This window comes from Homo sapiens, chromosome 12, assembly GCF_000001405.40.
Source record: "Homo sapiens chromosome 12, GRCh38.p14 Primary Assembly".
Taxonomy (NCBI): Eukaryota; Metazoa; Chordata; class Mammalia; order Primates; family Hominidae; genus Homo; species Homo sapiens.
In genome coordinates, this window is record NC_000012.12 from 93478057 (window position 1) to 93490892 (window position 12836).

At 39.7% G+C, this 12836-nt stretch overlaps 1 protein-coding gene across 5 annotated transcripts in view; it reads left to right on the top strand.

Moving 5' to 3' along the window:
• MRPL42 (mitochondrial ribosomal protein L42) overlaps nucleotides 1-12836 on the top strand; it is a 48701-nt gene that overhangs the window by 10543 nt on the left and 25322 nt on the right. For all 5 annotated transcript variants that reach the window (NR_038159.2, NR_038161.2, NR_038160.2 and 2 more), the window contains 2 exons: nucleotides 1332-1416; nucleotides 9441-9604. Coding sequence is in view for 2 of the 5 variants with exons in the window: in NM_172177.5 (NP_751917.1) it covers nucleotides 1332-1416; nucleotides 9441-9604 (249 nt within the window). In the remaining 3 variants the exon portion in view is untranslated. The remainder of the gene's footprint in view (nucleotides 1-1331; nucleotides 1417-9440; nucleotides 9605-12836) is intronic.

The following is a 12836-nucleotide window of genomic DNA, read 5'->3' on the forward strand; positions in this document are numbered from 1 at the left end:
AGTAATCCTCTTGCCTCAGCCCCCCAAGTAGCTGGGACTATAGGTGTGTGCCACCACACCCAGCTAATTGTGTATTTTTTGTAGAAACGGGGTTTCACCATGTTGCCCAGGCTGGTCTTAAACTCCTGAGCTCAAGCAATCTGCCTCCCTCGGCCTCCCAGCGTACAAGGATTACAGGTGTGAGCCATCATGGTTGGCCTTTTATTTTTGAGACAGGGTCTCGCTTTGTCACCCAGACTGGAGTGCAGTGGCGCTATGTCAGCTCATTGCAGCCTCAACCTCCCAGGTTCAAGCTGTCCTCCTGCCTCAGTCTGCCCAAGTAACTGGAACTACAGGTGTGTGCCACCACACCTGGCTAATTTTTTTTTATTTTTTGTAGAGACAGGATTTTTCCATGTTACCCAGGCTGGTCTCAAACTCCTGAGCTCAAGTGATCCGCCTTGGCCTCCCAAAGTATAAGGATTACAGATGTGAGCTACCACGCCTGGCCTTGATACTAGTTTTAATTGTACATCTAATGAGTACTATAATAGCGATGAAATTGGAATAGGTAACAGTTTTTGAACCTGGAAAGACTGAGTCATATAAGTGTTTTGCATTATATAAAACTATCTTCTCGTGAAGAAATCGTTTGACAGATTAAATGTTCATTGTAGCCATGTTATGGTATTCAATCTTGAAACCACGGTGAAACAATCTAATGCCTATTCTTTGTTAGCTACAAATGTATTTTGTTGTGGTATTTAAGCTGACATATTCTGTGGGATGGTCTTCATTTGTGTCCTGTGTTATGGGTACCAGGTTTGCCAATCCAGTGATGTAGTATCTTCAGCAATTTGTGATTAATTTTAGCTTTTATTTATTTATTTATTTATTTATTTATTTATTTTTTTGAGATGGAGTCTCATTCTTTTGCCCAGGCTGGAGTGCAGTGGCGTGATCTTGACTTCCTTCAGCCTCTGCCTCCTGGGTTCAAGTGATTCTCCTGCCTCAGCCTCCTGAGTAGCTGGGACTACAGGTGTGTGCCACCACACCTGGCTAATATTTGTATTTTTAGTAGAGACGGGGTTTTGCCAGGCTGGTCTTGAACTCCTGACCTCAAGCAATCTGCCCACCTTGGCCTTACAAAGTGCTGGGATTACAGGCATGAGCCACCACGCTGGGCCCAGAATGATTATTAGGCCGGGCACTAATTTTAGCTTTAGGCTGGAGTGCCCACTGCACTCCAGCCTGGGTGACATAGTGAGAGTCCATCTCAAAAAAAAAAAAAAAGGTAATCATTTTGCCTTGAATACAGTATAACTTTATTTCTAAAACATTCTTTTTTTTAGCAACGTAGAGCTTGCTCTGACTTCTGATGGCAGGACAATAGTATGCTACCACCCTTCTGTGGACATTCCATATGAACACACAAAAGTATGTATGAGAAAATTTCTTGCAGTTTTTAATTTGCTGTTAGAAATGTTTGCACTTCTTTATAGTATCCAAAAAGAAGGGAGTCATCTGATTTTCTTTGTTTTAGATTTTCTTTTGGCTTTTTAATTTTACTATTTTGATTTTTCTCTTATTTATTTTTCATCTGCTTTCTTTACAGTCTTTTTTCAGAATACAAAATGAACCATTTAAACACAATTATGGCATCAGTTTTCTGGTCTAAAAAATTTGGTAGATTTCTGGTTAAGGATCAAATACATCTAGTATAAAATTATAAAATGCATTATCCCATGCTACCCCATATTATAATCTAGACAATTATGAGAAAGTTGTATTTTAGAGTGCTGGGATTACAGCTACTTTTTTACTATTGGTTCTGACAGTTTTTTTTTTTTTTTAACATTTGGTGAATTTCTTTATTTTTATGTTTTAATGGGCCAACATAGGTATATATTTTGAATGGCCCAGTTAGATTTTTTTCCCTATTTTTTAAAAAGCCAAGTACTAGATAGAAGAGGATTTTGTATTGTTTTTAATATAATTTATTTTTAGTTTGACCCAAGTCTTTTTATTGTTTTGTATTTGAAATGCTTTTTCCTATTTCTTTAAGCCTCCTTCTACTAGGTAATGTTTGATTTGCTTTTTTTTTGAGACAGGGTCTCACTCTGTCACCCAGGCAGGAGTGCAGTGGCGTGATCCGGCTCACTGCAGCCTCCACCTCCTGGGTTCAAGCTATTCTCCTGTCTCAGCCTCCCGAGTACCTGGGACTACAGGCACCTGCCACCACGCCCGGCTAATTTTTGTATTTTTAGTAGAGACGGTGTTTCACCATGTTGCCCAGGCTGATCTCGAACTCCTAAGCTTAGGTGATCCGCCTGCCTCGGCCTCCCAAAGCGCTGGGATTACAGGCATGAGCCACCGTGCCCGGCCTTGATTTGCTTTTTGAGGAGAAAATTAGATGGTTTAAGTCATCACATGATGTATTTAGTGGTACTTATTTTGAAAAATCATCATTAGGGTCAGGGTGCCGGTTGATTTGACAAATAATTTCTTTTCTTTTTTTTTTTTTGAGACTGAGTCTCACTCTGTTGCCCAGGCTGGAGTGCAATGGCGCGATCTCGGCTCACAGCAGCCTCTGCCTCCTGGGTTCAAGCGATTCTCCTGTCTCAGCCTCCCAAGTAGCTGGGACTACAGGCGTGCACTACCACACCCGGCTAATTTTTGTATTTTTAGTAGAGACAGGGTTTCACCATGTTGGGCAGTATGGTCTCGATCTCTTGACCTCATGATCCGCCTGCCTCAGCCTCCCAAAGCGCTGGGATTACAGGTATGAGCCACCGCGCCCGACAAATAATTTCTGTATTCCTTTTTAAACTCACCATTTTGTCTCCCTGCTTTGTTAGGAAACAAAAGCCAGGTATCATAGGTACTAATTCAGTGCCTCTTTTTTATCACTTATTTGGGCAACGTTTAGAAAAATAGGCCTACATCACTGAGTTTTGGCCTATAAACCCTCCAGGTCACACTATGTTGTGCCTTTGTCCATTGTTATTTTGTTAAATATCTTCGGTTTATTTGCTGTGTTTTAGCAATTATACTAAGAATGCCAGGTCATTTCATAGCATCCAGACTCTTATCCCCAAATGGCTCTTTATATCTCTGAATCTGACCCTCCTCAACTGTCAAAACTTTCCCACTGTACTTGTAGAACTTACTACCCTTGGCAAAATCTCTTACAATCTTAGCCTATTCCAGAATGTTGCCTTCACCTTTTGACTCTAATAGAAACCTGCCTGTACCCTGGAGACGTTACTTCCCCAGCAGTTCTTTTAAGTAGTTGCTGTTTTCTCTCGCATACTCTTTTACCACTGGGTCTAAAGATGGGGAAGGTATCTCTGTAGCTCTTCACTGTCAAATCTAGATCATTTCTCTTCCTTCCTAACAATTTCTAGCTTTGTAGCTTGTATCATTAAACTGCATCATTTACTATCTTTTTTTGTTGCTGTTATCTACCAACTGCCAGGTTATTTCTCCTCCTCCACCACTCTGCACTTCCTTGAATATTCTAAGCTTGCTGTCACACTTTCTCCAATACTGTTTTACCCTCATTCTTTTACTTCAATATCCATGTAGGTGATCTAATACCATGGTGTCTCACTTCTTGATCTCTCTCTACATCAGCTACCCACTTCCATGGGAGGATTCCCTATGATTCCCTAGAGATATTCTAATTACCAGTAATTGCTACTCCTCCTTCCCAGTCTAAATTTTAAGAAATCCAATAGTTAACTACCAGTCCCTCTTGGTCTCCCAGCTCCAAGAATTATTCATTCCCTCTTTGTAACCTACATCGATTGATCCAACCACTTTTTCACAGTCCCTCATGTATCTCACACATTCTCACTCCCTACTTAACCCAGCACAGACTGATATCATGGTTTATCATTATCATCATTCCTCTGTACACATGACCACCTCCCCTGCATCCTCTTTCTTTGTTGTGTTTCCTTTGTTTTGACAATTATCTTCTCTGCCACATCATCAATATTCATCTCTCTAGTTTAGGTAAGTAATCACTCCTACAAGTTTTCAAGTAATCACCCCACTGCCACCATACTGACCACAACTCCAGCTGTTCTTCAGCTGTATTAGGTGAGCTCTCCACTCAGAGCTTTTGTATTTCCTGCTTCCGTTGCCTGGAATGCTTTTACTTCATAGTTTACTCTCTTTCCTTAAGGTCTTTTTCCTTATTTGTTATCTTGTGTGGCCTTCCTTGGCTACTGCATTTAAAGTTGTACCTCTGCTCCTGCACTCCTTGTTGTCCTTTGATTTACTTTTCTCAACAGCATTTATCATTTCTAGCATACTGGATGTTTTCTGGCTATCTCCCATCACTAAAATGTAAGCTTGATGAGGACAGGGCCTTGTGTGTTTTTTTCCCCTGCTTGGTCTTCAGCACCTGGAATAACGCTTTGAACTTGGTAGGTGCACAATAAATATTTTTCTATTAAGTGAATGAAGTTGTTCCTTCCTCTTCATGCTTAAGGGTTTTTTGTTTTAGGGCTAAGAGACATTCACATCAGAAAGCATGGAAAGTTTTTGTTTGTCAAGCAATAAATTGTAGATTGGGCTGCAAAATAAGAAACACTCTTGAGAACATGTTACTATTAGTAGAATAATAGTAACATGGGCTCAAGCAATCCTCCCACTTTAGCCTCATGAGTAGCTTGGACTATAGGCACACACCACCATGCCCAGCTAATTTTTTAAATTTTTGTAGAGACAGGGTCTCACTATGTTGTCCAAACTGATCTTGAATTCCTGGACTCAAGCAGTCCTCTCACCTTGGCTTCCCAAAGTGCCGGGCTTACAAGCATGAGCCACTGTACCTTGCCCAATCTGGTTCTTTTTTTTTTTTTGAGACAGAGTCTCACTCTGTCAACCAGGCTAGAATGCAGTGGTGTGATCTTGTCTCATTGCAACCTCCATGCCTCCCCAGGTTCAAGCGATTCTTATGCCTCAGCCACCCAAATAGCTGGGATTACAGGCACTCGTGACCACGCCTGGCTAATTTTTGTATTTTCAGTGGAGAGGGGGTTTCGCCATGTTGGCCAGGCTGGTCTCTAACTCCTGGCCTCAAGTGATCTGCCTGCCTTGGCCTCCCAAAGTGCTGGGATTACCAGGCATGAGCCACCACACCTGGCCCCATTCTGGTTTTTGTGACAAGGATCTGGCTTGTCTCCCTTTCTACTTTTCACTGATATCTTTGTTACTTTGCATTTCTGTAGTACAGTCATGCATTGCTTACTGATGGGGATATGTTCTGAGAAATGCATTGTTAGGCAATTTCATTGTTACGTGAACATCATAGAGTGTCACTTACGCAAACCTAGATGGTGTAGCCTACTACACACCCAGACTTTATGGTATAGCCTATTGCTCCCAGGCTGCAAACGTATACAGCATATTACTGTAGTGAATACTATAGGCAATTGTAACACAATGGTCAATATTTATGTATCTAAACGTATTTAAACATAGAAAAGGCACAATAAAAATGTGCTATAAAAGATAAAATGTAATATACCTGTATAGGGTACTTAACCAAAAATGGAGCTTATAGGACTGGAAGTTGCCCTGGGTGAGTCAGTGAGTGTAAAGGCCTAGTACATTACTGTACACTGCTGTATACTTTATAAACAAACACTGTATGCTTAGGCTACACCAAATTTTTAAAAAAATATTTTTCTTTCTTTAATAATAAATTAACCTTAGGTTACTGTCACTTTTAAACTTAATAAACTTAAAAAAAATTTAATACTTTTTTACTCTTTTGTAATAACACTTAGCTTAAAATATCGTGTACAGCTATACAAAAATATTTTCTTTATATCCTTATTCTATAAGCTTTTTTGTATTAAAATTTTTGTTTGCACTTTTTAAACTTTTTTTGTGAGAACTAAGACACAAACACAGTCTAGGCCCACACAGGGTCAGGATGATCAATATTACTGTCTTCTACCTCCACATTTTGTCCCACTGGAAGGTCTTCAGGTACAGTAACATGCCTGGAGCTGTCATCTCCTATGATAACAGTGTCTTCTTCTGGAATACCTCCTGAGGGGCTTGCCTGAGGCTGTTTTACAATTGACTTTTTTTTAACAAGTAGGAGTACGCTCTAAAATAATGATAAAAAGTATATAGTATAGTAAATGCATAAACCAGTTGCCTAGTCATTTATTATTATTTTTATTATTTAATTATTTTGGTTGAGACGGGGTCTCACTACATGTTACTCTGGCTGGTTTTGAACTCCTGAGCTCAAGCCTCACAAAGTGCTGGAATTACAGCCATGAGCCACTGTAGCCTGCCGTTATTTATTATTATTATCAAGTATTATGTGCTATACATAATTGTATGTGCTATACTTTTATACAGCTGGCAGTGCAGTTGGTTTGTTTACATTGGCACCACCACAAACATGTAAGCAATGCATTGCACTATGGCGTTCTGCACCATCACTAGGTGACAGGAATTTTTTTAGCTTCATGATAATCTTATGGTACCACTGTAGTATACACTGTCCTTCATCACTGTACATTGTTGACTAAAACATTGTTATTTCAGGCAGAATCTTGCCCTGTCACCCAGGGTGGAATGCGGTGGCATGATCTTGGCTCACTGAAACCTCTGCCTACTGGGTTCAAACGATTCTTCTGCCTCAGCCTCCCGAGTAGCTGAGGTTACAGGCATGCACCACAACACCTGGCTAATTTTTTGTATTTTCAGTAGAGACAGAGTTTCAACATGTTGGCCAGGCTGGTCATGAACTCTTGACCTCATGTGATCCGCTCACCATGGCCTCCCAAAGTGCTGGGATTACAGGCATGAGTCACTGCGCCCGGCCTCAAAACATTCTTATGCAGCCCATGACTTTACTTAATTGTGCCACCTCCATTGCTTTTTAAAAAACACACACACACACACACATATATATATATATATATATATATATATATATATATATATATATATATAAACAGAGATGGGGGGTCTTACCATGGTGCCTAGGCTGGTCTCAACCTCCTAGGCTCAAGCATTCCTTTGCCACTTTGACCTTCCTAAGTGCTGGGATTACAGGTGTGAGCCACTGCACGTGGCCCACATTGCCTTTTTTTTTTTTTTTAATTGACACAGGGTCTGTCTGTGTCACCAAGACTGGAATGCAGTGGCGTGATCTTGGCTCACTGCAGCCTCAGCTTCCCAGGCTTAAGTGATCCTCCCATTTCAGCCTCCTGAGTAGCCGGGACTGCAGGTGTGAGCTACCATGCCTGGCTAATTTTTTGTATTTTTTGTAGAGACAGCGTCTCCAACTCCTGAGCTCAAAGTGATCTGCCTGTCTCAGTCTCCCAAAGTGCTAGGATTAACACATGTGAGCCACCGCACCTGGCCACATTGCCTTTTAAAGAGGTCTTGTTTCATGTGCATAAACTAGATATAAATATATGCTATAATATTTAATACAGTGGTAGAATGTAGTTGTCACTAATAGCGTATGAATGTAAAGAAAATATGTTTGAATTGTTTCTTACTGGTTGTAAATTCAGATTTTCATTGTATTATAATACATACATATTGTTATTTTAAAGCAAGGCAGTGTTACAATCTTGTTACATATATATTATTATTGAATATGTTACTTTCATTATGATAGCGTTATATAGTATTGAATGTTACAATCTTTGTTACATACCTTAATATCACTTAATATTTAAAATATAGGTAACTTGACCCTCCAAGATAGTGATTCCTTTTGTTTTCCGTTTTGTTTTGTTTTGAGACAGGGTCTCACTCTTGCTCAGGCAGGAGGGTACTGTGCAGTCATGGCTCACTGCAGCCTTGAACTCCTGGGCTCAAAAGATCATCCTGCCTCAGACCCCAAGTAGCTGGGACTGCAGCCATGCACCACCACACCTGGCTAATTTATTTTTTGTTTTTAAATTTTTTGTAGAGATGAGGTTTTTAAATTTTTTGTAGAGATGTTGCCCAGGCTGGTCTCAAACTCCTGGGCTCAAGTGGTTCTGCCACCTTGACCTCTGAAAGTGCTGGGATTACAGATGTGAGCCACATAGCTGGCCAAGACACTGATTCTTAAAGTCTTTAGTGAGTCACTATTACTGGTGGAATATGTTGTATATCATTCATGTGTGTTGAGGAGATAAGATTTTTAGTAATCATTAACTTTGGGGGAAAGCTATTTAAATTACAATAAAGCACTGTTTGGTGGCATTTTAGTCACCTGAAATGAAAATGTTGAAAATTTTTCTGCTTCCATTGGATGTAAGAAATGTCATTTTCTTTCTTTTTTCTTTTTGAGACAGTCTTGCTCTTTCGCCCAGGCTGGAGTGCAATGGTGCAATCTTGGCTCACTGCAACCTCTGCCTCCTGGGCTACAGCGATTCTCCTTCCTCAGCCTCCTGAGTAGCTGGGATTACAGGTGTGCGCTACCGCACCAAGCTAATTTTTAAGTAGAGATGGGGTTTCACCATGTTGGCCAGGCTAGTCTTGAACTCCTGACCTCAGGTGATCCACCTGCCTTGGCCTCCCAAAGTGCTGGGATTACAGGCGTGAGCCACCGCACCCGGCCAAAAAATGTCATTTTCAATGAAAAGTTTTTAATTATTTCTCATCTTAATGATATAAAAGGTAAATGGTAAACTTTTAAGTTAAAAAATAATAATAGGCATAATTTATACCTTTGAGAAACAGAAACTAAAGTAATAAGTACTTTATTACTGCAGAAAATAAGAACATTAAATGAGGGCTTTCTTTTTTTCTTTTTTTTTTATTTGTAGTAGAGACACGGTCTCGCTGTGTTGCCCAGGCTGGTCTTGAACTCTTGAACTGAAGTGATCCTCCCACCTTGGCCTCCCAAAGTGCTGGAATTACAGGCATGAGCCACCACACCCGGCCTTTCTATTTTTCTTTCTCTTTTTTGAGACAGGGTTTCACTCTGTCACCCAGGCTGGAGCACAGTAGTGTGATCACAGGTAGCCTCGACCTCCTGGTCTCAAGTGATCCTCCCACTTCAGCCTCTTGAGTAGCTGGGACTGCAGGTGCATGCCATCACACCTAGATAGTTTTTAAATTTTTTTTGTCTGACCATGTTGTCCAAGCTGGTCCCATGCTTTGGAACTCCTGGGCTCAAGTGATTCTCCTGCCTTGGTTTCCCAAAGTGCTGGGATTACAGGCATGAGCCACTCACTGCACCTGGCCTAAATAAGAACTTTATTATTGGAAAAGAAACCTAAAATTTGCTGTGAGAAGAAAAATATTTCTGACTAATGAATAATGCACTAAGTGAAACTTTGTTTTGATAACTTATTTGCCCACCCTAAAGTACTATAGTGAATTACTGAATATGGTAATTGTTTTATTGTGATCTCAAACAAATGCTGGCTAACATTCCCACATCTTCATGATGTTTGTTACTGATTATTTTGTAGCCTATCCCTCGGCCAGATCCTGTGCATAATAATGAAGAAACACATGATCAAGTGCTGAAAACCAGATTGGAAGAAAAAGTTGAACACCTTGAGGAAGGACCTATGATAGAACAACTTAGCAAAATGTTCTTTACTACTAAGCACCGTTGGTATCCTCATGGACGGTAAGTTTTCTTTTCTTTTCTTCAATCCCTACTACATACAGTAAAGGAACACATGGATTTTCTTGCAATAACAAACTTCTGAAGTGGTGTTTTGCATGAGGAAATTAACCCTAAGTAGAATCACCTACTATGTTGTACTTTTTTTTTCTTTTCTGAGACAGGATCTCGCTCTGTCACCCAGGCTGGAGTGCAGTGCCACAATCTCAGCTCACTGCAGCCTCAACCTCCAGTGCTCAAGTGATCTTCGCACTTTAGCCTTCCGAGTAGCTAGTACTACAGGCATGTGCCACCACACCTGGCTAATTTTGTTCTTTTTTTTTTTTTTTGAGACAAAGAGTCTTGCTCTGTCACCCAGGCTGGAGTGCAGTGGCGAGATCTCGTTTCACTGCAACCTCCACCTCCCAGGTTCAAGCGATTCTCCTGCCTCAGCCTCCTGAGTAGCTGGGACTACAGGCGCATGCCACTATGCCCAGCTAATTTTTTGTATTTTCATTAGAGGCGGGGTTTTACCGTGTTAGCCAGGATGGTCTCGAACTCCTGACCTTGTGATCCACCCACCTTGGCCTCCCAAAGTGCTGGGATTACAGGCGTGAGCCACCGAGCCTGGCTCTTTTTTCTTCTTTTGTAGAGGCAAGGTCTCACTCACTGTGTTGCGCAGGCTGATTTTAAACTCCTGGACTCAAGTGATCCTCCTCCCTCAGCTGGGATTGTAAGAATGAGCCACTGCCACTGTACTTTTAAATTTACATATAATTTAGCTAAAATGAAATAGTACTTCTTTTTTTCTTTATTTTAATGGGGGAATTTAACCAGAGCTTTCAGTGAATTTTGTAAGAGTTCTTGAAAATTTTTACATTCTATGATGTATTCATTTAATATGTTGTTTTTGTTCATTTTCCTGTTAAGTAATTGATTGTGTCTTCAGCCCTTTATCAATTTCTTTATCATATTTTGAGTTATCGAAAAAAACATTGGGGTACAGAAAATGATTGGGCAGCGTATGTTGTTCTCAGTTCCCTTGGAAACTGTAATTGCCCTGATGTTTGCAAATACTCACATTTTCCATCGATTCTTACCTGCCATTTGACTCTGGCATTAATTAGTTTTCCTCTTTTTGATTTTTTTCTTTTGTATCTATCTTCTTCCATACCAAACTATAAGATGTTTTTGTTGTTTATATTTGAACAAACTTTTTTTTCTTTTTTTTTTTTGTGAGAAGGAGGTCTCATTATGTTACCCAGGCTGATCTTGAACTCGTGGGCTCAAGCAATCCTCCTTCCTCAGCCTCCTAAGTAGCTGGGATTACAGGCACACTCTGCCACGCCCAGCTAGTTTGAACAAAACTTTGTTCTTAGTTGTTTAACTCAGTAACTAGCACTGGCTGGCATATTTATGGCAGGGTACATTTATAGAATTAATGAATATACATTTATCAAGTGGCTCTAAGTGCTGGTTAGTGTAAAACATAATCCCCAGTTACAAATTGTTTATAGTCAAGGAGGGAAGATAGTAGAGTAAATAAACGGTTAAATCAAGTGTGATAGAGCCTTGAAGGAGGGTTAGGAGTTAACCCATGGAGAATGAGGGGTAAACTTCACAGATAGAGGAAACAGCATTTCGGATAAAGTGTGTGGGGGAAATTACTAATAGGTTGGGTTATGGCACCCAGAATATTAATTTATTATAACAAAACATAGCCCATCATTTCCTGTCTTAAGAAGCCCCTTTCTTAATAATCTCTATAATAAAAGTGATTTTTTTGTATCATTTTCCCAAGGAAAAATATTGATTTTTTGGGGGGGCAGGCAACATAGTCTTTCAATTCCTGCTTCTCTTTTGTATCTCCTTCCTTGATTTTTCCTTCTTATTTTATTTTATTTATTTATTTATTGAGACATAGTCTTGCTCTGTCACCTAGGCTGGAGTGCAGTGGTGTGATCTCAGCTCACTGCAACTTCCGCCTCCCAGGTTCGAGTGATTCTCCTGCCTCAGCCTCCCAAGTAACTGGGACTACAAGCATGTTGCCACCATACCTGGCTAATTTTTTGTATTTTTAGTAGAGACAAGGTTTCGCCATGTTGGCCAGGCTGGTCTCGAACTCCTGACCTCAGGTGATCTGCCCCACTTGGCCTCCCAAAGTGCTGGGATTACAGGCGTGAGCCACTGCTCCCGGCCTTCCTTCTTATTTAATACCCACTTTGTTTATGCATGCTATCTGGATTTTTCTCTATATTTTTAATTGTAAGGTTAGGATATGTGCAAACAAATTAGGAAACCATCTCATAGCCCTGTGCCTTAAATCATTAAATCTCATTATATTCTGAGATTTCTTTTTATGATTCTTAACATCTCAGGTTTATTTTTGATTTATATCACATTATCCAGGTATTTGAGTTCAAACCTTGTTTCAACTTCTTCTGTAATGGCTTTCAGTACCTGTTTCTTTCCTGCATGTTCCATATTGCTACAATCTGTTTTAAGCATTCATAACCAAATCACTCTAAAGGTATGTAACTTGACGGAGACAAGACTGAAGACAGGGAGACTAGGAGTCTTAAAACCGAGCATGTTGTCTTTAGACATTTGTGTCTAGTACCCTATGTTTAATCTTATTTACTTAATCTTACTGCTAATCAGCTTTTGACTGCTAGTTAATTTAATCTCCTGATATTTTTTCCCATCAAAATTACTAGGCGTTTTTTAATTGTAAAGTGACTTTAATTAGATTATCCCAATATATATCCTAATAAAGAGCTTGGCAGAGAAACCCCAGAGACTAGTTTATGTGTATAAAGAGAAATTTTATCTGTAGGCCTTGTCCTTGTAGATGTATCATCTTGCTGAATTTTAAATATGCCTATGTGTCATCACTTATCATTCAACACATATTTATTTGATATCTACATATGTATTTTGGATTAATGTGAGTCATTTTCAAGTGTTGGTTTCTGGATGTCAGTGGCCATTTCTTTCTTTTTGTCTGTCTATCTGTCCATCTGTCCATTCATCCATTGATTCATTCATTCATTCTCAGCTTGTTTTCCCTAGTCAGACCATTTCATTTTAAACCTCATTTAATATATAGAAGGATGATTTACTAAATATTTCACAGTTCTTAAGTTACAGCAGTCAAAAGAATGGGACTCATTATGAATTTAATAACTGGGGGTATATAACTTCTTCTTAAATAAGTTTTTATTAAAAGGTATAAAACACATTTTATTTTTATTTT